The sequence below is a fragment of the Homo sapiens genome, chromosome 12 (assembly GCF_000001405.40).
Source record: "Homo sapiens chromosome 12, GRCh38.p14 Primary Assembly".
Taxonomy (NCBI): Eukaryota; Metazoa; Chordata; class Mammalia; order Primates; family Hominidae; genus Homo; species Homo sapiens.
The window spans coordinates 92,590,501-92,618,006 of NC_000012.12; the positions used below are offsets into that span (position 1 = coordinate 92,590,501).

Below are 27,506 nucleotides of genomic sequence, written 5' to 3' on the forward strand. Positions count from 1 at the left end.
CCAGGTGCTTGATCTTTCCAAGGAAGTTTCCTAATTGTAAAAAGGTAAAAATCATGCTGATGTTATCAATATGTTCTGAAATTTTATTTACATAATGTATCGAAAGCCCCTAGTCCTTTCTTAAGCTTAACATAAAACTACTGGTTCTTGATCTGTGTTTAATAACATGGGTCAAATCAAGTGTTTAATAAGTGGTTAGTATTATTTCTTTGTTTTCTTTGCTAGAGATATGGAAAAGAATAAGAAAATAAGCAAGGAAAGAAGCCATGGGGATAAAAGGGTTTGGAGTGTAAACTAACACACATCTCATAACTAAAAGGACTCCTACCAATATAGGAACTACTGGAACATTGTCTCTTAACTGGTCCTCTATTTCTAGATTCTGCCTATGATCTATATCAGTAGTCTCCAAAATACAGTACGTGCAATCAAGCAGGTGTACAAAACAATCAATGGGGGAGATGGAAGAGAACATTAGAACTTCTGTATATACCCACTTTTATCAAATAAAATAAGAGATTAAGCTTTTCTGATATTTAATATGTCATGGCACTCTCAGTCTCTATGTTAGTGATCACCCCTCACATAGGATATGTGGGAAGTCTTGAGGGAAAATGGGAGTCTATAAATCACAGGAGTGGACAGTGATTCCCTAACATTTTCATTTGTTTAATAATTTATGATACATGCCCAGTTGAGTGAATACGTGGAACTATTGTCTAATTCTAACTTGCTGAAAAAATCATAAAATAAGTGAGAAACTTAAAAAGACCCCAAAAATAAATAATGGGTCAAAGATACCACAACAAAGCAAGCCACGTGGTAGAAAAAGTTGATTGTTCTCCACTTAGAAGTACTTTGTCACCATATTACAATATATGGTATAATATAATTATATACATAATAATTATAATTAGATCTGACAAGAGATTAGCTCACCTCAAGAAGATGAATTGGAATATGGATTTATACATACACTCCTTAACAATGTCACCCTAGGTAGACAATAAAATATTAGCTATAATGTTTAGTAAGACTTTAAAACTAAGTAATCAGTACACTAACAGTGTGGCTGTATTAGTCCATTCTCACACTGCTATAAAGAACTAGCTGATACTGGGTAATTTATGAAGACAAGAGGTTTAATTGACTCACAGCTCCACAGGCTGTACAGGAAGAATGGCTGGGAGGCCTCAGAAAACTTACAATCATGGCAGAAGTCTAAGGGGAAGCAAGCATTTCCTACCATGGCAGAGCAGGAGGGAGAGTGAAGAGGGAAGTGTTACACACTTTTAAACAACCAGATCTTGGGAGAACTCACTTACTATCAGGAGAACGGCAAGTGGAAAATCCGCTCCCATGATCCAATCACCTCTCACTAGGCCCCTCCTCCAACACTGAAGATCACAGTTCAACATGAGATTTGGTGGGGACAAAGAGTCAAACCATATCAATGGCTTTTGGTGAGATAAAAATTGAAAATCAAATTTTACCTCTCTCTTATGCTTTTTAATATCCACATATGTACTTTATACTGTACAAAAGTTATTAGTACAAGCATGCACGTATATAAATTACACATAAACAGAGCCTGGCACGGTGGCTCATGCCTGTAATCCCAGCACTTTGGGAGGTCGAGGAGGGCGGATCACTTGAGGTCAGGAGTTTAAGACCAGCCTGGCCAACATGGCGAAACCCCGTGTCTACCAAAAATACAAAAATTAGCCAGGTGTGGTGGTGTGCACCTGTAATTCCAGCTACTCAGAAGGCTAAAGCAGGAGAACACTTGAACCAGGGAGGCGGAGGTTGCAGTGAGCTGAGATCCTGCCACTGCACTCCAGCCTGGGTGACAGAGTGAGACTCTGCCTCAAAAAAAAGAAACAAAAAACTTACACATAAAGAGATATGAATATATGAGTGGGACATGCTCCAACATGATGGGGCATGTTACTGAAAGCTTGGAGGGCATTCCCTACGCTGATGCTGTGTGTTAGCCTTGCCTTTGGGTTATGCCACACCTCTGCTGTCTTGGTCAGCTTACACCACTATCACAGAGTACCAGCGGCTGGGCAGCTTAAACAACAAACACCTAATTCTCAGAGTTCCAGAGACTGGAAAGGTCAAGATCAAGATACCAGTACATTTGGTGTCTTGCGAGGGCCTGTTTCCTGGTCCGTAGATGGCTGTCTTCTTGCTGTGTCCTCAGCAGGTGGAAAAAGAGCTAGCTAGCTTTCTGGGGTCCCTTTTATAAGAACACCAATTCCATTCATAGGGGCTCCACTCTTATGACCTAAATACCTCTCAGAGGCCCTACCTCCCAATATCATCACATTGGGGGTTAGGATTTCAACATGTGAATATTCAGTCCATAGCACCTGCAGAAGGATCTACCTTTAACAGTTCTCTGTTGTCAAATGAATATGGTGTGAGCTACTTACAGGCACATAAGGTACTTTCTAACCTGGCCCCAGCCCTGGTAAGAAACAGACTGGCATAGGTAGTTTGAAGAGAGATTAATAGAAGGACTACAAAGATGTAGGTGGACTCTAGAGAAACTACGAGGGATAGTAATGTGGAAAGATGGGAGGAGGTGCCTGCCCCCCGACCGCAGGCCTAAAGTGGTGGAAAGGAGGAAAGAGAGAGGCTGTGTGGAGAGGGCCCTTGCTGAGACCTTCAGGGAAGGAATGCAGCCAGCTCAAGGCCACCCTGACCCCTCTCCTCTCACCCTTACCTGCGCCCTATTTACTGAATCCAACACAGAGGGAAGATATTGAGGTGGCCCACACAAGCAGCTTTCCATGACACAGAATTGAATAGAGAAGGGTAGTGGACCTGGAGAAACCAACGGAAGATATTCAAACCAATCTCTTTCCAAATTTCTCATTCATTCATTCATTCACTGATACTTTTATTTCTTCATTCAACAACTTCGATTGAGTGCTGTGTCAGGAACTGACTAGGATACTAGAGATACACCAGGAACAAGACAGTTGGTGTCCTGACCCTGATGTCTCATGCTACCTTCCAGAGAAGCAGGTAAAAAACATGGTGAGAGGTAAAATAATTACAGGTCACAATACATTCCTAGTGATAGATGCTGTGATGGGGAATAACAGGGGACTTGCATCAGGGAAAGTGGCCATGGATGATCTTCCTGAGGAGGTAAGACCTGAGGATAGAGAAGGGATTGGCCATGAAAATAGGTTGGGAAGAATATTCTACAAATAAGAAGCAGAATGTGCAGCAGCCCTGAAGTAGAACTCTGCTGTGGTGATCCAGGCACAAAAAGGAACAAGTGTGGCCAGGGTTGGGAAGTAAGAGATGGGCTCGGGACGGTGGGCAGGGACCGCCCCCTGCCAGGCTCCACCAGCTACAGTAAGGAGCTTGGGCAATGACACGTCCTTGAACCAGGGCATTTTGTAAACATCCTTCTGAACTGCTCACCCTGCCAAATATTGTGGCTTTCATGTGTCATGCCTCTGTGCCTTTGCGCATGTAGTGCCCCTGCCTAGAAACTCACCCCCTCTCTTCTACCAGACAGTTACTCATCCTGTGTGACCCAGTTTATATGTCATTTCCTGTGCGAAGCCTTTCTTGGTCTCCTCAGTCTGTCTCAGTCACTTCCTCTTCTGTGCTCCCTTAGCACTTTGTACATGTCTCCCTGCTTTGTCACTATTTGTTTACTGATCATCCCTCTCTCAGGACAGTGAACTCTTTGAAGGCAAAAGCTATTTTACGCTTCTTTGCATCCCTACCCTACTCCACCTCACACCCCCAAGCCCTTGAAGAACTGATACCATGTTCATCTTTGCATCCTCACCCTACTCTTCCCCCAACCCCTAGTTCACCTGGCCCAGGGTGTGCCACGTTAGTAACATCCAAGAATGCATGCTGCATGAATAAAGTTGCAGAAAATAGACCTCCCACTAATTCTGACCTTCAATAGCAATAATACCTGCCCAGAAGAGGCTACCAGTGAATTGTGATGTTTTAAAGCTTCCTGAGCATATAAGACAGCTGCTGGAATCCACTTAAGCAATTAGAAGTTAGATGTTCAACTAGAGTTTACAGGATGCCTTTAATCTATAAAGGATAATAATAGGTAACATTTATTAAATGCTTACTGTATACCAGTCTATTCTAGCAGCTGCACTAGAATGTATTCATTTAATCTTCAGAACAAAACTCTGAGCTGTTTACTCATACTAACCTACTTTACAGATGAGGAAACTGAGGTACAGTGGGGTTAACTGATTCAATGAGGACCACACAGCCAGTAACAGGCAGGACAGGGATTGAGACCCAGGTAGTCCAGCTCCAGAACCCAAACTCTTTTTGCGTGTGTGGATAATTTTTTTTTCTTTTGTTTTTTTGTTTGTTTGTTGTTGTTCCTGTTTTGTTTTGTTTTTGTTTTTTTGAGATGGAGTTTCACTCTTTTTGCTCAGGCTGGAGTGCAGTGGCACAATCTCGGCTCACTGCAACCTCCGCCTCCCGGGTTCAAGCAATTCTCCTCCTCAGCCTCCTGAGTAGCTGGGACTACAGGTGGACACCACCATGCCTAGCTAAGTTTTTGTATTTTTAGTAGAGACAGGGTTTCACCATATTGGCCAGGATGGTCTCTATCTCCTGACCTCGTGATCTGCCTGCCTCGGCCTCCCAAAATGCTGGGATTACAGGCGTGAGCCACCACGCCCAGCCACTTTTTTTTTTAATTTATTTTTTAACTTTTAGTTTCAGGGTTACATGTGCAGGTTTGCTCTATAAATACACTGCATGTCAAGGGAGTTTGGTGTACATATTATTTCATCACCCAGGTAATTACCATACTACCCAATAGGTAGTTTTTTGATTCTCACCCTCCTACCCTCCACCCTCTAGTAAGCCCCAGTGTCTATTGTTCCCTTCTCTGTGTCCATGCATATTCAATGTTCAGCTCCCAGTTATAAGTAACAACATGCGGTGTTTGGCTTCCTGTTCCTGCATTAGTTCACTTAAGACAGTGGCCTCCAGCTCCATCCATGTTGCTGCCATCTCTAACAGACTCCCTTCAAAGATAGAAAAATAGCAATAATAATTTCCTGTTTGTGGATGAAGCTAATACTATAAAAGTTCGTCTTCCTCATCATTATCATTTACAGTCACATCATCTCTCCAAAAGAGATGGATTTGTGTAGACTCGTTGTCATTCTCAGTACCATATGTGCACAATGGCTGCTCATATTTAGTGGAGGGTCTTCATTGTCTGCCCTACCCCATCAAGGAAATAGAAAAATCTCTGTCTGTCTCTCATGGGTATTTTGCCCTGGAGGACACTCAATGCATATTTCTTCAATTAAACCAACCCAACTAAGGAATGTACCTTAAGTGAGAGAGACTTAGTTCACACCTTGAACCAGCTGATTCATGGTAGACCCAGCCCTTCATTACTCTGGGCATGAGTTTCCTCATAGAGAAAAAATTAAATGAGAAATTCTCTTAAGATTGTATCTAGCTCTAAAAATTGGTGAAATTTAGGAATACAAGTCCATGTAAAACTATAATTTCTTTTATTTAGGTGATGGATACTCTCACACTTTGTATCAGCCTATTAACTGCACATGATTAAAAATCTCACAAAACAGGATATGAGAATTTATCGCTTATCAAGGGCCAGAAATAATATCAGTTCTGAAAAACAGAAGCAGAATTCAAAACAACCTGAGGCCTGCACAGAATTTCTTATTACTCCGTCCTGTCCCGTGGCCAGTGAATACAATAAAATGTGACAAGAGAGATTTTCTCCATGTTGGTGACAGACTAGAACCCTTGCACTCAGGGCATGTTTGGGAGCAGCAGCCCCTGGGGCCCTCATTGTGGAGGATGTAATCAGTGTTCCCTACTGAGCCCTCATTGGTATATGGAGACAGATGTGTTTTTCTTTAAACTGTCATGAAAATTGCAGCGATATGGACACAGGCTATTGAGTCATGCGGGGATAAGGTAATGAGTGGAACGCTGTTGACAGGAGAGATGGGAAGGGCTAGAGGGGCTAAGGAGGCAGGAGAGTCACAATTCATACTCCAAGTGTGGCTTAGTGCAGAGATTATTCTGCAGAGAGCTGCTCCAGTGAGATAACCAATTGCATGATTCTGAGCGAGTCACCCGATCTCCTGTTTATAAAATGAGGAGGCTGGATTCAATCAGGAGTTTTCGAACTGAATCCGTAGAAGAGAAGCATCTCATGGAAAAACCAAGTGGGTGGAGAGAGGCACAAACCTAAGTGATCATGCTCTTGACCCTCCATTCCATCTCTTCCACTCTCATCTCTACTTTTACATGTTTTGCATTGGAGTTCAACAAAAGAGTGTATTTCAAAAAAGGTAGGCTATTATAAAGAATAAAGATTTTGAAGCCACGTAGATTAGATGACCTCAAACATCCCCTCCCAACTTTTGCTATGAGTCCACGAAATCATTAACAAATAAGCAGGCATACACTTGCCTTCCCAATTCATTTTCACACCCCCAGCAAATATCTCAGAGTAAATTAAAAGTAATTCTTTTGAAGTTGCCCACTTTTTTCTTTGCCCAGCAGTAGATCCCCCAGCTCCTTGATAAAATAGTCTAACTTATTAAAATCACCAATGATCTCTCTTCACCAGAAAATAAGGCTGGCTTTCAGCCAGAAAACTGATGTGACTTGTTTTACTGATTTCCCAAAATCATTATTCTCTTTCTGCCTCATCATGATAATAATTATTATTGTTATTATTCATGACAGAGTCCTTGCATAATCAACTCTAATATCACACGTAAGCCTTCTTGTCTCTACCACCTGAGCAGAGGTTGGCAGCATTCCTCCCAGTGTTTGATCAAAATGCTGCCACTCCGATGAATCCCAACTAGTCTGCAGTCTCATGATGCTGCACACAGTCACCTGAATCTTCTGTATGGTAAAAAACAAAAGGCCTCCATTTGCTGGAAAAGGCTCTGAGGTGGGGGAGGGATGATAGAGCCACATTAAATTGAAGTGAGTAAATACAAAGCAAGCCATCTTTGTGCATAGAATAAGATAAGGGAAATTGAGAATGGTCCACCATATCACTAAATACAGCCATATGATCTGATTCCATGGCAATTGGCCCAGCCAGACCTGTGGAATTTGCCCAGTCATAATTGGGCTGCTTTTCTATACCTAATGGATCCCAGAATGAAATCACACTGACATCCCAGAAAGCTTTTCATTTGTTATCAGACAGCTTTGGTTCAAATATCATGGTGAGGGAGAAACACTGACAACATTGTATTTCAGCTCTTGGAAGCCGTTCCAACTTTTCATCACATAGACCGTCCCTTCAAAGTTTTGTGCTTGTTCCATTTTGCAGTGTTGGAAATTATATACACAGTGCCACACATGTTGAGGCATTTCTCTGATGCATTCTCTATACTGGAAAGATGCAGACAGTGAGCAAATACTTGCTTGCTGCCTCAGTTCCCTCCTACACCTAAGGTAGAAGCTGAAAATTGATGACAACACTCTTTACTAAATCCAGATGCAGCCTCAAAACAGTTTGTAGAGCATCTGCAAAAAAAAAAATTCATGTGAGTTGACACTTAAGATGAAACTTATTCTCCACCCTGAATGTACACTAGGTAGTCATGGATTTAACATTTATAATTTCAACCATTCAGAAATACCCATCAAGATCATGATAGCTATACAACTTGGCTTAGTCACATAGCTGAGTCACTCGTGATGAAAAGATCCCTCAGCTGAAGAATGAGTCTAACTCTTCCCCATATTGATATCTGAAATACAATATGGGGGATTTTCTTTCTTTTTAAAAAAAAAAAAAATTATGATTAAAACAAAAATGCAGACTATACATTACAGACTAGTACTTATAAATTTGGAGAGTTAAAAATTTTTCCTAACAGATCTCTTCATAAAGGTTCCTGTTATTTAAAACCCCACTATAATAACTACTACTATTGATATCCATGCACAACACAGGCCTGATCCTTAATTCATTCATTGTCTCCACTGTTATCATCTCAATCAATGATGTGAACATTTACAAAGTTGTTCAGAGCAGAAACTTGGAGGTCAAGCTTCAATTGCTCTCTGAGCTCCCCATGCCCTACTCTGAAAATATTCTACAGATTCTACCTTAAAAATATACCACAATCTGCCCACTAATCTTCCACTTTGATTTCTGCCATCTTGATCCAGCCATTTGTCATATCTTTCCCACACTATTGTTCCTGACTGATCTCTTCCCCTGTCTGCTTCCCATTCTACTCTCTGTTTTTTCTATTGTATGCTCAAAGTGTGGGTCTACAACAAGGTAAGGTGCTTACATCAGAATATATATGTAAATCAATGCACTCCTTCTTTCATTTTGTCTGTCCATAAGCTCAGCTAAAAAGTGTTCTAGGTGATATACTTGATTTATGTCTGCACAAGCTCCTTTTCACCACAGACAGAGAGCCACAGGTTGCAGACCAGCCCATGTGCAGACCACAGGTTAGGCAACACTGGCATCACAACCCCAAATAATGAGGCCTTTGCCTACTTCTCAAACTTCATTTTGAGCCTACCTGCCTTTTCTTCCTCTGTTCCAACCACAGTGGGCTCCTTTTGGATCTTAGACATAACCATGCTGTTTTAGAGACATAACTACCTTAACCACACCTGTCCTAAAGAGGGCACTTGCTCTTCCCTTAGCTGGGAATACTCTGTCTCTGACTTTTTACTTATAAATGACATTTTCTAATACCCTCTGTATTAGTCCATTTTCACACTATTATAAAGAACTACCTGAGACTGGGTAATTTATAAAGAAAAGAGGTTTAATTGACTCACAGTTCCACATGGCTGGGGTGGCCTCAGGAAACTTACAATCACAGCAGAAAGCAAGCGGGAAGCAAGGTACATCTTACATGGTGGCAGGAGACAGAGATAGCAACGGGGGAAGTGCCACATTTTAAAACCATCAGATTTCCTGAGAACTCACTAACTATTATGAGAACAGTGAGGGGAAAACTGCCCCCATGATCCAATCACCTGCCACCAGGTCCCTCCTTTAACATGGGGGTATTACAATTTGAGATGAGATTTGGGTGGGGACACAGTGATAAACCATATCATTCTACCTCCGGTCCCTTTGAAATCTCATGTCCTTCTCACATTTCAAAACACAATCATGCCTTCCAAACAATCCCCTAAAGTCTTCACTCATTCCAGCATTAACCCAAAAGTCCAAGTCCAAAGTCTCATCTGAGACAAGGGAAGTTCCTTCCACCTAGCAGCCTATAAAATCAAAAGCAAGTTAGTTACTTCCTAGATACAATGGGGGTACAGGCATTGGGTAAATGCTCCAATTTCAAATGGGAGAAATTGGCCAAAACAAAGTCTGAAACCCAGCTATTTAATCTTAAAGCTCCAATATCTCCTTTGACTCTGTGTCTCACATCCAGGCCACACTGACACAAGGGATGGGCTCCCAAGGCCCTGGGCAGTTCCATCCCTGTGGCTCTGCAGAGTACAGCCCCCAAAGCTGCTTTTACAGGCTGGCATTGAGTGCCTGTGGCTTTTCCAGGTGCATGGTGCAAGCTGTCAGTAGATCTACCAGTCTGTGGCCTGGAGGACAGTGGCCCTCTTCTCAAAGCTCCACTTGGCAGTGCCCCAGTGGGGACTCTGTGTGGGGGCCCCAACCCCACATTTCCCCTCTGCATTGCCCTTGTAGAGGTTCTACATAAGGGCTCCACCCCTGCAACAGACTTCTGCCTGGACATTCAGGCATTTCCACACAACCTCTGAAATCTAGGCGGAGGCTACCAAGCTTCAACTCCTAATCTCTGTGCACCCACAGGCCCAACACCACATGGAACTCACCAAGGCTTGGGGCTTGCACCCTCTGAAACAATGGCCCAAGCTGTACCTTGGCCCTTTTAAGCCACAGCTGGAGCTGGAGCAGCTGGGATGCAGGTTGCCATGTCCTGATGCTGCACAGAGCAGCAGGGTCCTGGCCCAGCCCACAAAGTCATTTCTTCCTAGGCCTCCAGGCTGGTGATGGGAAGGGCTGCTGTGAAGATCTCTGAAATGCCCTGGAAACATTTTCTCCATTGTCTTGGCTATTAACATTCAACTTCTGTTTACTTATGCAAATTTCTACAGCCAGCTTGAATTTTTCCCCAGAAAAATGTTTTTTGTTTTTCTACCACATGGCCCAGCTGCACATTTTCCAAACTTGTATGCTCTGCTTCCCTTTTAAAAATAAGTTCCACTTTCAGACCACTTTGTGAACACATATGCCTATATGCTTTCAGAAACAGCCAGGTTACATCTTGAATGCTTTGCTGCTTAAAAATTTCTTCTTCCAGATATCCTAAATTATCTCTCTCAAGTTCAAAGTTGCACAGATCCCTAGGGCACAGGCAAAATGCCATCAGTCTCTTTGCTAAGGCATAGCAAGAGTGACCTTTAATCCAGTTCCCAATAAGTTCCTCATCTCCATCTAAGACCACCTCAGCATGGACTTCATTGTCCATATCACTATCAGCATTTTGGCCAAATCCATTCAACAAGTCTCTAGGAAGTTCCAAACTTTCCACAACATCTTTCTGTATTCTTCTGAGCCCTCCAAACCTCTGCCCATTACCCAGTTCCAAAGTCACTTCCACATTTTCAGGTATCTTTATAGCAGTGCCCCATTCCTAGTACCAATTTTCTGCATTAGTCCATTTTCACACTGCTGTAAAGAACTACCTAAGACTGGGTAATTTATAAAGAAAAGAGGTTTAAACCTCTTTTCTTGACTCACAGTTCAGCAGGCTTGGCAGACCTCAGGAAACTTACAATCATGTCAGAAGAAAAAGGGGAAGCAAGGCATGTCTTATGTGGCAGCAGGAGAGAGAAAAAGAGAGCAAAGGGGGAGAAGAGAAGTGCAACACTTTAAACCCATCAGATCTCATGAGAACTCACTCACTATCATGAGAACAGCATGGGGCAAACTGCCCACATGATTTAATCACCTCCCACTGATATAGGAGTTAAGAAGGAATTACTTAGGCAGATAGCAAGGGCATGGGAGTCCTTGATAAGGCTTTTTTTTTTTTTTGTTAATGAAAAGCAGCCCCAAATCATTTTCTAACAAAGAGCAGCCTGCAAGCTGGGAGCTTGCATGGATGAATGCCGGCAGAAACTAAGGACTAGACATTTTCAAAATGGTGGCTCCATCTTCCCTTCTCTGTCAGCCACGTGTATTATAACAAGCAGACAAGATGGTGCTGATCAACTAGAAAGCCCATTTGCATAAGAAGATTAGGGTGGGGTGACCAGCCTTCCCCACACGCTATGTAAAGGAAATACCTGATCTTACCAATCTGTGAGCCCTACGTAAATCAGACACCACGTCCTCAAACTGGACTATAAAACTTGGTGCTTTTGCCACCAGCTGGTCCTCTCTGCTCAGAGACCACTTCCTCTGTAGAGGAAGCTGTTTCTCTTTCTCTTCTCTTCTACCTATTAAACCTTCACTCCTAAACTCCTCGTGTGTGTCCATGTCCTAAATTTTCCTGGCACGTGATGATGAACCCCAGGTTTATACCCCAGACAGCATAGCCGCTTCACCACCAGTTCCCTCTCTTGACACATGGGGATTGCAATTTGAGATAAAATTTGAGTAGGGACACAGAGCCAAACATATCTCCCTCCTTCCCTGACCATTTATGTAGGGCTTCCTCTTTATTATCCATCATCATTTGGTCTCTAGTTGACACCATTTTTTCCAATCTACAAGTACATACTTATGTATGTGTTTACCTACTGATAGTCTGTTTTCCTTACTAGACTGGAAGCTCCCTGAGGGCAGAATCTTCATGGATATCTCTGATTTCTCTGGTCAGAGGACCACTGCTTTTGTCACATTATGTCCCCATGTGTGTACTGCAGATGGAAGGTTAGAGAAACCAGGGCCCACCATGCCAACACTCCAAGATGTTAATCAACTGTTTCAAAGCTGCCCTGGGTCATTTGCAAAATCTAAAAACTGACTCTTTGACTCAGGTTTGCCCAATATATAAAGCCACATTGTCTATTGTTCTATAGTTACAAGTCTTAGCCAGTTTAAGGTTAGGCAATTTATAAAGAAGAAATGGGAATTACTTCATGTGAGAAAACAATTTATTGCCTTACATAGGATTTTTTCAGCCTGAGTCACTGGAATGTTTTCATGTACATTTGCATCATCGTCATTCTCCTTACAGACCCAATCATATAACAACTAAAATGTATAAAGAGCCTATTATGTGGTAAACACTGGGGCTCTCTCAGGGAATAAGACCAACTAGACCTCATCTTCACTGAATTTATCGTCCAGCAAGTAATAAACATAAAGAGTGGTGAGTGAGAAGAACACAGTGTGACAGGAGCACATTGCAGGACAATTGAACATATTTTAGGAGTTGGGGAAGATTGGCACCAGAGGATGGGTAAGACACAAATAAAGAGGGTAGAAAAGTGATTCAGACAACAGGAGGCTGGTGAAGGGCCAAGGAATAAGAAAGGACTTATAAATTCTAGCATCTAAAAAAGTCCAAGAAGCTGGAATGTAAAATATGGAGAAGGAAAAGATAAGGAGTCAGGTTGTAGGAATAGCCAAGGGCTAGATCTTGTGTAGCATAGCCAGGAATTTGGACTTTGCCCTTTTAAGCTGGGGCATAACATGTCCCACCTTCTGTTCCCTAACCTTTTACCTATAATTTCCTATATTTACCTATAAATTGCTTAAAATATTTTACCTATAAATTGCTTAAAATACTTGCTAAATATATGTTACATATTATTAGATGTCTATCAAAGAATGCAAAGCAATGGAAAAAAACTGAGACAGTATTGACATCAGGGGAAAAAAATTGTAGATGATGATGTCATGAGTATGCTAGATGGCTCGGCTATGAGCCATGGTAAACACTAAAAAGGATTTAATTAAATATGCTATATTTGAAAGATTTGTAGACAGTCAATAGATAGTATCTAAAATTAAAAACTCAAATATTTGTAGAAACACATTACTGAGAAATAAAAAATACATATTCGAACAAAAATTGAAAGATGTGCAGTTACTTCTGAGTCAATGAGCAAAGGGAGATGGAATGGAGTAAGCTGAGGCTGGGGATTGTTTTTGATTATAATTTTTGTATATGTATTATTTTGTTATTTTTACTATTGAATATGTGGGGTTTTGACAGAAGCATAAATTGAATGTGTGTGCATGCATGGACTCACACACCCACACACCCTGCAAATCTAAACTTAGAAAGGAACAGTGGGAGGCAGCCATGGCACCCCCTACTGGCCTTCTCATGGATGGTCTATTGATGGGTCTCACTACCCTGTCCAGACCTGCCCCCATTGCTGAACCAGTCATGTCTCCACAGGAAAACAGCAGCCTCTGACCTTCCATTTCTTAGAGGTTTCATGAACTGGACTGCCAAGCAACATTTGGATTTTCAGTACTAGGGACAACTCATAGGTACCTGCTTAGATTCTGAGTTGGCTCCATCTAATGAGATCCTGAGGACACATCAGGGCCCAAGAGGAGCTGATTCACTGGAAGTTCAGGGCACTCTGGTTTTTCCAAGCAGGCTAGGACAGCATGGAAGTTTAAACTCTCAGTACAGTGAAGCATGAGCCAGAGATGGAGTGCCTACTCTCTTTGATTTGAGTGAAACATTTACTTATGAGAAGTAGATTCAGCATCTGAGTCACCAGACACTGAAATATTACAGCAAAGATCTTTACGTGTTTCCTACCTCATCACTACATACCCACTCATCTGAGATGTGTGATGCTTGACACGGACAGAACTCAAACTGTCTTTTACTACCTATGAAGGAAGAAATGATGATAGATCATAATTGAAACAACCTACTGAGGAGAGGAAGCTGTTTTCAAGCACCTTCAAGAACTTTAAAAGGGCTCGTTTTATCAACAATGTTAATTAAAAATCATTCTTATTAAAGCAATTCCTCTAATTTTCTCTACCAGATAAAATTGTATTAGGCCACTTTCAGTGACAAGATATGCTTGACAGAAGAAAAAAGTGTTAAAATGTTTTACGAATGAGATTTTAACTCTTCAGAATAAGTTTTACATGCATTGATTTTTTTTTTAAGTAAAGTGTTACATATTCTAACACAATTTCACCCCACCCACCCCCTTAAAGTCAATGAGGATATTTATCTCCTCTCAATATAAGGTTGTTTTGTTTTGTTGTTTTGGGGGTTGGGTTTTTTTGTAAAAACTTTTGGATATTTTTCCAAAACTAATGCCAAACATTTCTTCATTATATCCTAAAAGAATCACTTTCATCAAAGTAAATGTTCATGATAAATGTTATTAAGTATAACCAGAATAATAACTAAAAATAGCTCAAATTGTCTAGCTACATTTTGTCAACAATCTTGCTCTAGCCAAGTTCCCCATTCATTGCACAATCTATATTTTGGGAAGGACAGAACATAATTGCTTCCAAACAAAATTTCAAGCCTGTGTACATTTCCTTCCCACCATCAGTTTCAGTTAAATGAATTAATCTTTGAAAAGGGGGAAATGCAGAAAGCAGGACTTCTCCCAAAAACACATTTAATGTGTATTTTATCAAGGGCTTTAATTATAAAGTTGTAATGGGTGATTTTTGTTATAATCATCACTGGAGAGATTTCAGTGTTTTAGAGCAGAGATCCCCAACTCCTGGGCCACAGACCAGTACCAGTCTATGGCCTGTTAGGAACTGGGCTGCACAGCAGGAGGTGAGCAGCAGGTGATCAAGTGAAGCTTCATCTGTATTTACAGTTGCTCCTCATCGCTTGCATTACTGCCTGAGCTTTGTCTCCTGTTAGATCAGCAACGGCAATGAGTGGCAGCATTAGATTCTCACGGGAGCACATACCCCATTGTGAACTGCCCACATGCAAGGGATCTAGGTTGCACACTCCTTATGAGAATCTAATGCCTGATGATCTGTCACTGACTCCCATTACCCCCACATGGGGCCATCTAGTTGCAGGAAAATGAGCTCAGGGCTCCCACTGATTCTACATTATGGTGAGTTGTATAGTTATTTCATTAAATGTAATAATAATAGAAATAAAGTACACCATAAATGTATTGTGCTTCAATCATCCCAGAACCATCCCCTGCTCTCCTGGTCTGTGGAAAAATTGTCTTCCACTAAACCAGTCCCTAGTTCCACAAAGGTTGGGGTTTGCTGTTTTACGATGTTACTTTCATCTTTCGCCTTAGCATACCTTGTTCAGACAAGCAGCAAACAGCAAATGCTAACCTGATGAAAAGATACTTAATCGTACTAAGGCATAAAAGCAAACCCAAAAAATATTTCTAATATACTTGAGGCAATGCTACATAAAAATTTTTGTTAGCTTATTCAATTGCCTCTTCTAAAGTACAAGTATGTGAATTACTCAGCTAGGACACAAGGCACATTTTTTCTGAGTTGGCAAATCTTATTTTATGGACTATTCTAGTACCCTTTTAAAATTCATCAAATTTTAACATTCAAAGCATAGTATATGGATATTTAGGGAATATGAACAAGTATAAAATACAGTTCTTACTCTCAATCTGATTACATCCTATCATGGAAAATAATCTTCCTGTGGGTGCATTTTGTCTCAGCTGAAGCCAGACTTCTCCAATAATAAATCACCTACAATTCAGAGCCAACACTAGACATGTGAAGAATTAAAGGCCTGGCAAATAGAGGTGGCAGAGAGAGGAGTGGTAACAGTGATAGATCTGAACTTCTTACCAGATCCTGACTTGTTACCAGTGAAAAGGTCCTTGAAATGGAATCCTTAAAAGATAAGTCCATGTATCCCAGAACTTAAAGTAAAATTTTTTTAAAAAAAGTTAAAAAAAAGATATGTCCTACACAGTGATTTCTGTAATAAAGTACACTACATTTTACATAAAGTCTTATTTCTCACAACACTTTGGTGGAGCTCTTTGCAAACAAATTAACACATGAAAGAGGTCAGTAATTTGCTTGAGGTCATGTAGTTTATTGAGTGACAAGTTCAGCAATTAAGGAATTATACAAAACATGTATGAGTTTTTAATACTATTTTGGCTTAAATGTGATTATTTTTGCATCCTAGAGATATATATAGGCATGGGAAAAAAGCCATGTGTGTATCAATGTCATTATAGATCTTCTCTGGATAAGACTTGGAATGATATTTTCTTCTTGTTTATGTGTATTTATAATTTATAATGATTGCGTTTTGCTTATGTCATAAGAAATTTTAAGAATAAAATTAAATAGTAACAATTAATTCAGGTTGACTTATTTAATGGCTAAGTGAAGACAGTGGGTTTTATTCTACTGTTTTTAATAATAAAAATAGCCAACTGTTTGGGGGCATTTGTTTGGGGAAGAGCATTGTCCCAAGTTCTGTACCCACATTATCTTATTTAATCCATAGAGTTTTCTTACAATGTAGATGTTATTAGTTATCCTTCCTTTACAAACAGTAAAATCCAGGCACAGAAAGTTTCTGTAATTTGCCCTAGGTCACATAACTGCAGGTCACAAAACTCTAATCTGAAGCCAGTCTCCAGAGTTTAAACTCCTAACCACCAGGGTGGCAGCCTCTCCCATGAGACAGACGTTCTCGCTGGGAATAAAAAGCTCTTTCAAGAATGAAGGCTTTCTGGATTTTGAGGCTGATTGATATTTCCTCCACAATTGGGGTCAGTCTCAATTCAAGGCTAGACAGCTAGAGTCTTTCTTTCAACTCATGTCCCAAGCAGAAAAGTATAAAGCTATTTTAGAGGTCTCTTTAGCAGAAAGAGTGTTCTACTAGCCTTTAGTATTTCGTATATGTAAACACTTTGTTAAATACTTAACAGCATGCTAACTTTTATTTGGCTTTCATATAATCAAATATAAAACCCAAAGTCAAAACAATTCTGATTTAAATTGTTCTAAATCCCAAATTACAAATTTCTGAATTTCATGCTGAAACAGAATTTAGTGTACAGTTACACTAAGTTCTTGTATTTGAAACACTCATTTAAGTTACCTAAGTATCCAATAAGAGGATGCAAGACTAATCAACCAAAGAAAAGACTTAAATGGAGAAAATGTATTATTATCCCAGAAGAGAGAATTATGGAAGTTTAGATGTGCAATTCCATATGGGTTTTTAATAAATTATTGTAAGACATTAATCCTGAAATCTAAGAAATTACTCAAGAGACCTGTTCATCTACTTTTGACATCATATGTATAAAATATTTTTTTTCCAATTAACCTAACACTAACAGATTCTCAGGTTGTGCAGATAATATTCTTCTGAGATGTTGTTAGAAGGATTTCCTATATTGTAGAGGCAATGGTATATATGGTTATAGAATGAGCATTTATATATTTGTTTTACTTAACATACATTCAATTAAATAAATATCTCCTGAAGCTAATTGTTAGAAGATGGCAAAAAATTCTGCAGTATTCACCATCTAGTTCTCAAAACTAGGATGGAAATGTAGCTTGAGACAATTCTTTCCATGTGAGTGTTTTGTGAATAATCTCATAGATTTCCTAACAGCAATTTAAAATATTTCAAAGCTAGCTTATTAAGACAGACTTCCACTTTCCCTTGCATAGCCCTAATTTTATTAAGCTCTTCATTTCACATTTTTATCCCCCAGTGGGATACTTAGGCTGGTTTCTGTCCCACTCCACAGGAGGAATTGTTCATTTTATCTATCCTTTACTATTTGACAGCACTGTGGTACAATTCAAGCCCTAAGCATACATGCACATTAAAAATAATTATATACTGCCTATCACCCCCATAGTACTACTGTCTGGTGGTCCCATTAGATTGTTACTAGGGCTTCCTGTGTCACGGACTATATCGACTTCTTTGCTTCCTGCTGGAAAGATCTGAAAAAAACAAGTGACATTTTCCTCTCTTTTTCCTCTCCCCACTCTCAATCATCTTTCCTACACTTAGCTGAGTTCTTACTTCCTTTCCTTTCTTTAGGAGAAAAGGCAAAATGACTGTCACAGGCAAAAAAAAAAAAAAAAAAAATGTTCTTTCTTGCCCTTTCATCTCCAGGCAGATGAATCAATAAACCATGGAGACTAAAGTGCTCCATCTTCTGGTCAAGGATGCATGTTAACCCGCAGCTATTCCCGATTGTAAAAGGAAGCATTTTATCTCTGGGACAAGATCCCGAAGACAACTATTGATGAGTCTTCCAGTATCATCAAGAATAAAACATCCTTCTTCTAGTCTCCTAGGCTTACAAGACTGAAGTAATTTTCTTCCAATCTTCCTCTCTTATTTCCTTCGTTCACACCTGCCAATCTAAGGCTGATAATATTTCAAGCCTTGGTGTGGCATCAAAGCCGAGACTCCTCTCTGCCCCTTCATGTCTGGCACAAGTTACTTAACCTTTTTTACCCCCAATGCCTCATCTGTAACATAAATATAATAACGGTTTACAATTTGTAAAATACATAGAAAGCACCCAACAAATGTTAGCCACTCTGATTGTAACTATGGTCATTTTTTTTAATCTTTTTTTTTTTTTTTTTTTTTTTTTTTGAGATGGAGTCTCACTTCATCACCCAGGCTGGAGTGCAATGGCCTGATCTCAGCACATGGCAGCCTCTGCCTCCTGAGTTCAAGTGATTCTCATGCCTCAGCCTCCCAAGTAGCTGGAATTACAGGCATGTGCCACCACACCCAGCTAATTTTTATATTTTTTTTAGTAGAGACAGGGTTTCACTATATTGGCCAGGTTGATCTTGAACTCCTGATCAGTTCGAGGAGCTCCTCAGGTGATCTGCCCACCTCCGCCTCCCAAAGTGCTGGGATTACAGGTGTGAGCCACCACACCTGGCCCTAAAATCATTTTTAATTCAATTAAATACAAATTTTTTAATCCTTACTATGGCCAAGATGCTAAGCACTTTAGTAGGATTTTTTACGTAGCCTCTGCCCTCAAGAAACTAATAGTCTACTAGGAATGACAAATAATTACTTACTAATTTTAATGCAAGATTATGGTAGATGATGACAAAGTGAGCTACAAAGTCTTCCAGGACAGCACTTCTTAACCTGTAATATGCGTATTAATCACTTGGAGACCCTGTTAAGATGCAGATTTTTACCCCATAAGTGTGCAGTGGGACCTGGGATTCTGTATTTCTCATAAGCACCCGGGTGATGCTGATGCTGCTGGTCTGAGGTCTACCCTCTGAGTAACAAAATTCTATGACATTAAAAGAATGATAGAAACAGATCTTGTATTTTGCTGTTGTATATAAGCATATCTTTACTATTGTTTTAAAGGCTGTATCTGCTCTGATGGGCCATTATCCATGACAAACCTACTGTTAAATTTCTTGTTGAGTATTATTCCAAATATAAATATTTGTTTCAGTACTCTCTGAAGCTGTGGTGGACAGCATAGACGTCATATGATTTTAAAGCAAATGGATTGTGGAGTACGTGGTGTTTAAGAATGGCCTTGAAAGATGAGCGGGATTTTATCCATTTCCACTTGCTTGTCTAGTCTACTCTTTTGGGGACACCACTGTTACTGCGTACTTAAAGAATAAAGTGCCTCCCTATAACTTCCATCTAAAACAGTGTTTCTTTTAATCTTTGAGTACAGACAACTCCTTTGGAAAAATTATGTCTCATTGGTTGTTCCCATGTTCTTAGGCCTTCAATGTTGTCCTTTCTGGTTTTGAAATAAAATTAAATGATAAAAATGTGTAGGGGTCTCCACTGTCTTATAAGCAAAACCCAGCCCTTCCCAAGCTGAAGTTAGTCATTATGTGTGCTCTGCTGGCCAGACACCAACCCCTGAAGTGAATATCAGCCTATAATTGGGGGCTTTCACATGCAAATCTAGGTGCCCAGGTTGAAAAATCAGGAAATGCAGCCACCCAGGTACCAAATTCTTACTTGGTAGAAATCAGCTGGAGCAATATAGCCAAACAGCCTTTGGGTGGGGCACGGGCCCTCCAAGATTCCAGTTCCATGCAAATCTCCATAATCTCTTAGACCTGACCCACTTCATGCTCTTCCCTAACTCAGCAGCCTACATAAGCATTTGAGTTTATTATACTGTCTACCTAAAGGCCATGAGTCATTTTGTCTTGGAAAAAATATATATCCTTTGTCTTCAATCATATATAACATCGTGGTTTTTAGAATGCAAGGAGATAACCTTTTTCCCTGCAAATTAATATCATATCATAATCAGGTCACAGTTAAAGCTGGTATACATTAGCTTTCTTGGTTTGCAGTCTTTGCTTTTCTACATCATTTAAGTATTTGATTCCAGAAGTTCATTTCTTCCTTTTCCAACTGTGGAAGTAAAAGGAAATTTGAGTCAGGAGGAGAAAAAGAAAAAAAAACAAAGAATCAATACCTCATTTCATGAGTGAGACTTTGTAAGAGCTATGCTAGCAACTTTATGAACCAGTAGAGAATTCATGTGAAGAAAAAAAAAAAAAAGCAGAGAAAAGTGTGTGACTTTTCCCAACCTAGTTCTCCAAACCCAGGTTTTATTACCAACTCAGTAAAACCTGAATAAATCACTTAGGTTTCCCATGCCTCATCCATTCCTCATGAGCATTCACAAAATAAGAGAGAGAGAGAAAATAATAAATAGCTTTTGAGTCATTTTTAAAGACTTTTCAGTTTGCTAGTAGTAGATATAAATTTTTAAATTAAGGCCCCACTTATTCACTTAAAATATCATAGTTTAGCTTTTTTTCATTCATATTTAAAGGGAGTCAAAACTACCAAACATTGATACCAGGAAAAATGGGGAGGGGGGAGGGGATCTAATTGCCTTTCTTAAAATACAAAAAAAAAAAAATTCACTTTTTAAAAAGTTTGATAAATAGGTGATTATTCTCCAGTATAACTGTCAATCTGAAAGACCAGGAGGCTACTAGCAGAAGATAGGATTATTACAGGTTTCTGAAGATCCCTAAACATAGCTCCAAAATGAATATACCACTACCCCACTATATAACTTATCAACCGACATGGTGGGAGAATCTGGCTTGTTTTTAAGTTGGAAGGTAACATGTTACCTAGGCCCATAATGGGCAAATTTATAAATTCATGATGTTGCTCAAATGAGACAAGAGCACAAGAAATTGGAGTCTACAGCCCTCCGAATGTGCCTGGCTCTGCCCCACTTGCTGGGAATGACCACACAGGGCCTCCCTTGCCTTATCTGAAGGCCAGAGGTAATAAAAACTATGTCCCAACATAGTTATAAAGATCACAGTCAGGGCTGTTGATGGAAGCATCTGTACACTGTAAAGTGCAAGACTCAGGCAAGACATCAAGCAATTGTGTGTTTGATAGTCTAGGTACAATTCCAATAGGATGAGCACAAGAAAGGAATCAGTATTGCAATCCACTAAACCAAAAAGCAAGAGATAGTACCTAAGTACTCTCTTCATCATCACCACAATACTGCCTCTGCTCATGAGGTGGTTAACGGCATGGTCAAGGGCTGAGATTTTAGTGTGGGCACCCCCATGTACAACCACCTGATCTTGGCCAAGTTCCTAATCTCTCCATTCCCTTTTTTCCCCATTTGTAAAATAAACATAACAAAAAATCTAGCTTATAGGTTGGGTTAACATAAGACACTTAGAATAGTGCATGGTACATTGTAAATTCTACATATGTCCTGTTCATGTGAAAAACTGTTTCTAAGATCTGTGATGCTACACCCTATCACAAATTTCTTAGTAATTAGTTATACAGGATACTCCCATTGTTGGCCTACCTCTCACTGCCTTACTATCCCACCCTAACACTTCTGGAAACAGCTGAAATACTGATCTTTTGGTCTTCCTAGCCCTCTGGTCTTGCTAGCACTCTTACCAAAAGTTTATCAAAAAAAAATGCTTAATTAATGGGAAATGGTGTTTAACATTAAATACCATGTAAGATAATTAATGCAGTAAAATAAAGGGTACCAAATGAAAGCTAAAAACTCAGTGTGCCATTCAAAACCACAGACTTTGAGAGTCCTCAGACTCACTCAAGGGGGCTGAGAAGGAGGGACCTTTATTAGTTTAGCATCAACAACGATGCCTATAATGGTCCACTGATGTGGCCACTAGGCTCTCCTTTTCCTCCTTCTTTATCCTGCCCAGCACACTCTCAGCTGTGTGCCTACCTCTTTGGATCAGTTCCTCTAACCTCTGCCACTGACACACTTCCAGCCTTGGAAGATTGATTTCTGTCCTTCGTAGTCATTTCTTGCTCCCCAGTTAATTGGCAAGTCTTGACATGACTTGCACCATATGACACTAACATGTATTGACAGTGCTGTGGATAAACCATCAGCTTCCTGTGTGCTGCTGATGTCATGTCATTCCCATTGATTATATGCCTGTTGTATACAAGGCACTGGTGAATGCAAAGCTACATAACTTCCTATCTACATGTAGCTTACAACACAAGACATTTATGTCATTTCCTCATGTATGAAAAGGTATGTAGTTATATGCTATAGAAGTACAAAAGGGAGAATAATTATATTCTTCTCTCTGGTCTTCCCCCACCACTTTTTAGCCCATGACTCTCCTTTATTTTACCTAATTGTACTTATAACACCTGACATGTTATATATCTACTTTTTTTGGTTATTGAACAATGGCTATCTCCAACTCTTAGCATGTAAATTCTATGTGAGCCTTGTTCACTGCATGTCCCCAGCCCTTAGAATACTACTTGGCATGAAGACGGCCCTCCATTAATATCTGTTGAAAGAAGCCCTTCCAGAAGAAGTGACATTTGAGTTAGGCTTCGACCAACACTAAGGATTTCAGTAAGTGAGAAATGGGATAAAGAATATTCTAGAATATTCTAGAAAGAGGAATTGACACTAGCAGAAACATGAAGGCTTCTAAGCAGGGTATAACTGAGGTAACAAAGTGGCTCTAAGATGGAAAATGAAAAAATATGGTGGAATTTAACTATTTTTAAATTAATTTTATGAAAGAAAATAATTTTTGCCCCAACAGTATTATACTTTAGATATTTCAATGACACTGATGAGTCAATCTAAGTACTTTTAAAGTGATTCAGGTCCCAAATGAATAAACCGCAAAGGAAAAGATGCATTGGTTGAATGCAAAAAGTAGGGAAGCTGAGGGAGAAAAGGCAAAAGGAAAGAAATGAGGAAGGTAAGCAGAGAGAAGAAAGCCATGGTCCTTGTCACAGTTGTGCTTAGTACCCTTTTATTTTATGTATACATTTCTAAGAAACCCATGTTTCCCATTCTTGTCCATCCTACTTCAATGATACCATCTGTAATTGACTCTCATTCTGGATTTTGATTCTTTGTGGCAGTTCTGCACTAGAGGGTAGTTTCAGGGAAGATTTTCATTTCTGCTAACTTGTTTTACAAAGAGAAGTTATGACATTATAGCAACTTTCTATCATCTATAGAAATCTCTTTTAAAAAAATTCAATAACATTTCCAATGTGAGTCATGAGTGGGTTTGAATGAATACCATTTTATTTTGTCTCTTCATTTTCAAATGTCTCCTCCAAAATGTGCTCACGTAATGATATTTTTAAAATAATGTTTATAGATTTTTTAAATAGCATTTTTAGATGGCTCATATGTCAACCATTCCTCTGGAAATTTATTGGCTTATAGGGAATGTTTGTCTGACACACTGTTTCTAACCGCCCTGCACAGACTGAAACTTCATGCACTTGCCTCAGGTCCAAGAGAAGTCTTTCTCCAAAAACCAGGAAGGATGTAGCCCAGGTGAAGTGTGCTACAGAGGGAGATGATGAGTTGCATCATAGCTGCCTCAAGTAAGGAACTCTGTTGAGGGACAATTTATCCAAGCTCACCAGGTCTTAACATTGAGAGTATACATAGTTGGCTGTTGAAATTCACAGCCAACTAGAAATGCCCACATGGCCTCTGAAACTCTAAGACAATAAAAGCCCTTGGGGAAGGATGTATTGCTCCTTCATTGCCTTAAAATACAGATTAATATGACAGTTCCAGGAATTTGGAAATTGAGCTTCCCAACCAGCCACTCCCAGAGGATGCCAACCCACAGCTTTGCCTGCAACTGGGCAATGTGGTTTTGACCAATTCTGGGAACACGCTCAATGTTTTGAAAGAGCCGAAGGGGACCAAACAGAAAATGTGGTAAAAGGGCCCAGTGGCATACATTTTTTGTGTGTGTCCGTCATCCTCTTGAAATAAAAATGGATTTTTTTTCAAATGCAAGCTAGAGAATAACCATTTCCATTCTTGCAATCCAGCCAGGTCTGGGACGAAAGCAAGTACTGCAGAAAGAGGATGAAACAGCAGCAGCACACAAACCATGGGGTGGAGAAAGGGAAGATAAAAAACGCTCCTAATGTCCTCAAAACAAAAATTTGATCGAAGCACACACCTCTCAGTCTTGAAACACAGTATAAAAACTATTTTAGAGAACAAAAGACCCTTGAAGGAAGAATAAAAACAAAGGAATGGCCAAAAGAAAGAGAGAGGGGGTGAAACAATGACATTCTTCAAGACCAGGAAAGAAATTCATCCTAAAATAAAGAGCACTAAAAGATAACTACAAAATAGAAATATAAAATGACTATGAAATGTTGGGCCAGGAAGCCAGTATGACAATATTTTCTCATAAAATGATATACTATTTCATCACCATATGCTTTAGGAAAATCCAATATGTTCCTGACAGACTTCTAACATTTTTTCCCCAAGATGGTTAAAGCTTTAAGGAATGTGTCAAAGATACTTAGCACCCACTGCATTTTTGAATATTACACATTGGTAATTCTCTGGTTCATGAATTTTAATAATACTACTGCAATTCAGTTTTCCAATCATTCTCCCCAGCACTAGCTGATAAAAACATCCAATAGCAGATCCTGTTTTGGTTTTGTTCCAGTATACTGCTAAATCTGCAAATGGAAATATATATACACATACAGACACATATATATTATATATATTTGAAATTTTATGTATATTTTGTATTTATATATAAAAGAAAAAAGTATGGTAAGACTTGGGATAAAAACATTATTTGAAGAATTATTTCAAAACACTGGTTGGTATTTCAAAATACAGCTCACTAGTTATTGAGGAAAAGAAATGAACATTAAGGATTTAATGGATTCAATTATAGATATACTACTTTAAGTAACACAAATAAGAGTTAAACAAGAGTATGAAATGAGTTATTGTGTGCTATTTGCTCAATATACTTCCATGTGGAGGAGTTTCTAAGCTATTGTTGCTACATCTCTCCCCTCTCTTTCCAACTGTATTTGCATTCTTCTAACCACCTATGGCTTTCTATTGTGCTATTCTAGCTTCATCACAAATGATGTATCATACCTGGGAATGTGCCCGGTGAACTATAAGGTATTACGTAAATAGAGAATTAGGAGCTGTGCCATTAATAATAATGTCTTATATTAGTATAAAATTAAAATAATTGATTTTTCCTTTTTATCTGGCTTCTCTTTCTTTATTCTTCTATTTTATTTGTTACTTATCTTTGTTATATTATCAAAGTTACTTTATTCTTTCAGCCACACAAGCTTCAAATGTACTTGTCTTTCATTCTTCCTTTTCCCCACCTTACTCTCTCCAATAACCAAGCTCTATTAGTTCTCTACTGTTTCCTCCACTAACTGGCCTTTACAATGGTCTGTCCTATTTTCACCAATACTTCCTCAAACCAGGCTCTCAATATCTCACACCTTGACTATGCTGAAAATATCTTAATAGTATCCTGCTTCCAATTTGGGTCCTCTCCAATTCATTGCTTTTGTTGACACCAAGTAGATCTTTCTTAAGTGCTGCTTTAAACTTGTTACTCCTCTGCATAACCACAAAGACAGCCACTATTGATAAGACAAAGAATAAAGTTCCCATGTCATAGCTCAGGGCCAAAGTAGAGGCCCCAGACTTCTTGTAGGTGCACCTTCCATTATTTCTCAACACAAGCCCTTTTCTCCAGGTGGATGGTTCCACTTCCACAAACTGTGAGAGATCCAGTGGCTATATACCCTGCCTGAAGCACCTTCTTTTCTTTCCATATATTCTCTGTAAGTCCCATGAAGCTCTGAAGCCACCATTGCCCAAGAGATTCTCTTGGCTTGAGCAACCTACTGGGTGTTCATTGAAAATCAACTGTGCAACAAATGGCTGCAGGACTGCCATGCCACTATTGAGTCTGTCAAGTTGTCTTTTAGTTTCCTCAAATAGATTTTAAGCTTTGTGAAAAATGGGGCCTTCAAGTAACACTTATTAAGTACCTGCTGTGTGCAGGGTCCTGCTTGAAGTGCCTCAAAAAATAGGGGTAGATTATACATTTTGGGCATTTAATGACAACAAATATGGTACTGTGCATATCATGGCTGTCCAATGCACATCCTGAGTGAATGGATTTCCATTATTTTTATACTGTAAAACTATAATTTTAGACTTCCACTGCCAAAATTAAGTTCCACAAATGCCTTTTTCTTTGTATGGTAGGGAAACTATGGTGAAGAAAAATGAAATATCATATTAAATCAATGCATTTTGTAATAAAATTAGTATCATAATGCCCATTTCTGCTTTCTAGTCTGCTGTTCTAACTGCCAAGCCCTTCCATGTGTCTTCAAGAGAATGTTGGAGACAATATATTTCTCATTTAAGAAATGAGAAGGCTGAGCACGGTGGCTCACGCCTGTAATCCCAGCACTTTGGGAGGCCGAGGTGGGTGGATCATGAGGTCAGACTGACACCATCCTGGCTAACGCGGTGAAACTCTGTCTCTACTAAAAATACAAAACATTAGCCGGGTGTGGTGGCATGCGCCTGTAGTCCCAGCTACTCAGGAGGCTAAGGCAGGAGAATCACTTAAACACAGGAGGTGGAGGTTGCAGTGAGCCAAGATTGTGCCACTGCACTCCAGCGTGGGTGACAGAGCAAGACTCCGTCTCAAAAAAAAAAAAAAAAGAAAAGAGAAATGGTACATTACTCCAGCCCACTTACCACGTGACCCAAAATGCTGTTAGTTTTGAGTGGCGCCTAGAATAAAAGAAGATTCTGCAACAGGTCCAGGCTGCTATGCAAGCTGCCCCTCCACTTGGGCCATGGAATCTAGTAGATCTAATGGTGCTCGAAGTGTCCATGGAAGATGGGGATGCTGTTTGGAGCCTTCTTCAGGCCCCCATAGGTTAATTGCAGCTTAGACTGTTAGAATTTTGGAACAAGGCCCCACCACCATCCACAGCTAACTACTTTTCTTTCAAGAAACAGCTTTTGGCCTGTTATTAGGCCTCGGTAGAAACTGAACACTTGACCAGGGGCTGAGTTACCCTGTCACCTGAGATGCCCATCATGAACTGGCATTTGTCTGACCCTCCACATCACAAAGATGGGTGCATACAGCAGCA

At 39.7% G+C, this 27,506-nt stretch overlaps 2 long non-coding RNA genes across 2 annotated transcripts in view, besides 3 other annotated features; one reads left to right on the forward strand and one right to left on the reverse strand.

The window, feature by feature from the left end:
• LOC105369905 (uncharacterized) overlaps positions 1-27,506 on the forward strand; it is a 72,972-nt gene that overhangs the window by 33,217 nt on the left and 12,249 nt on the right. The gene's annotated exons all lie outside the window — the stretch shown is intronic.
• Positions 2,760-3,959: an enhancer, noted in NCBI's record as "CDK7 strongly-dependent group 2 enhancer chr12:92987036-92988235 (GRCh37/hg19 assembly coordinates)". NCBI's record gives its function as "activates an origin of replication core promoter dependent on BRD2, BRD4, P300/CBP, MED14 and CDK7 cofactors, with strong dependence on CDK7, by STARR-seq in HCT116 cells {active_cell/tissue: HCT116}" and the evidence as "EXISTENCE:reporter gene assay evidence [ECO:0000049][PMID:35650434]".
• Positions 3,199-3,298: an enhancer, noted in NCBI's record as "active region_6752". NCBI's record gives its function as "activates an Ori minimal core promoter by ATAC-STARR-seq in GM12878 lymphoblastoid cells {active_cell/tissue: GM12878}" and the evidence as "EXISTENCE:reporter gene assay evidence [ECO:0000049][PMID:35858748]".
• LOC124902983 (uncharacterized) overlaps positions 7,206-27,506 on the reverse strand; it is a 57,302-nt gene continuing 37,001 nt past the window's right edge. The window contains exon 2 of the long non-coding RNA XR_007063406.1: positions 7,206-7,560. This is a non-coding gene — a long non-coding RNA (uncharacterized LOC124902983). The remainder of the gene's footprint in view (positions 7,561-27,506) is intronic.
• Positions 25,779-25,979: a silencer, noted in NCBI's record as "peak1887 fragment used in MPRA reporter construct". NCBI's record gives its function as "represses an SCP1 promoter by STARR-seq MPRAs in K562 erythroleukemia cells {active_cell/tissue: K562}" and the evidence as "EXISTENCE:reporter gene assay evidence [ECO:0000049][PMID:32103011]".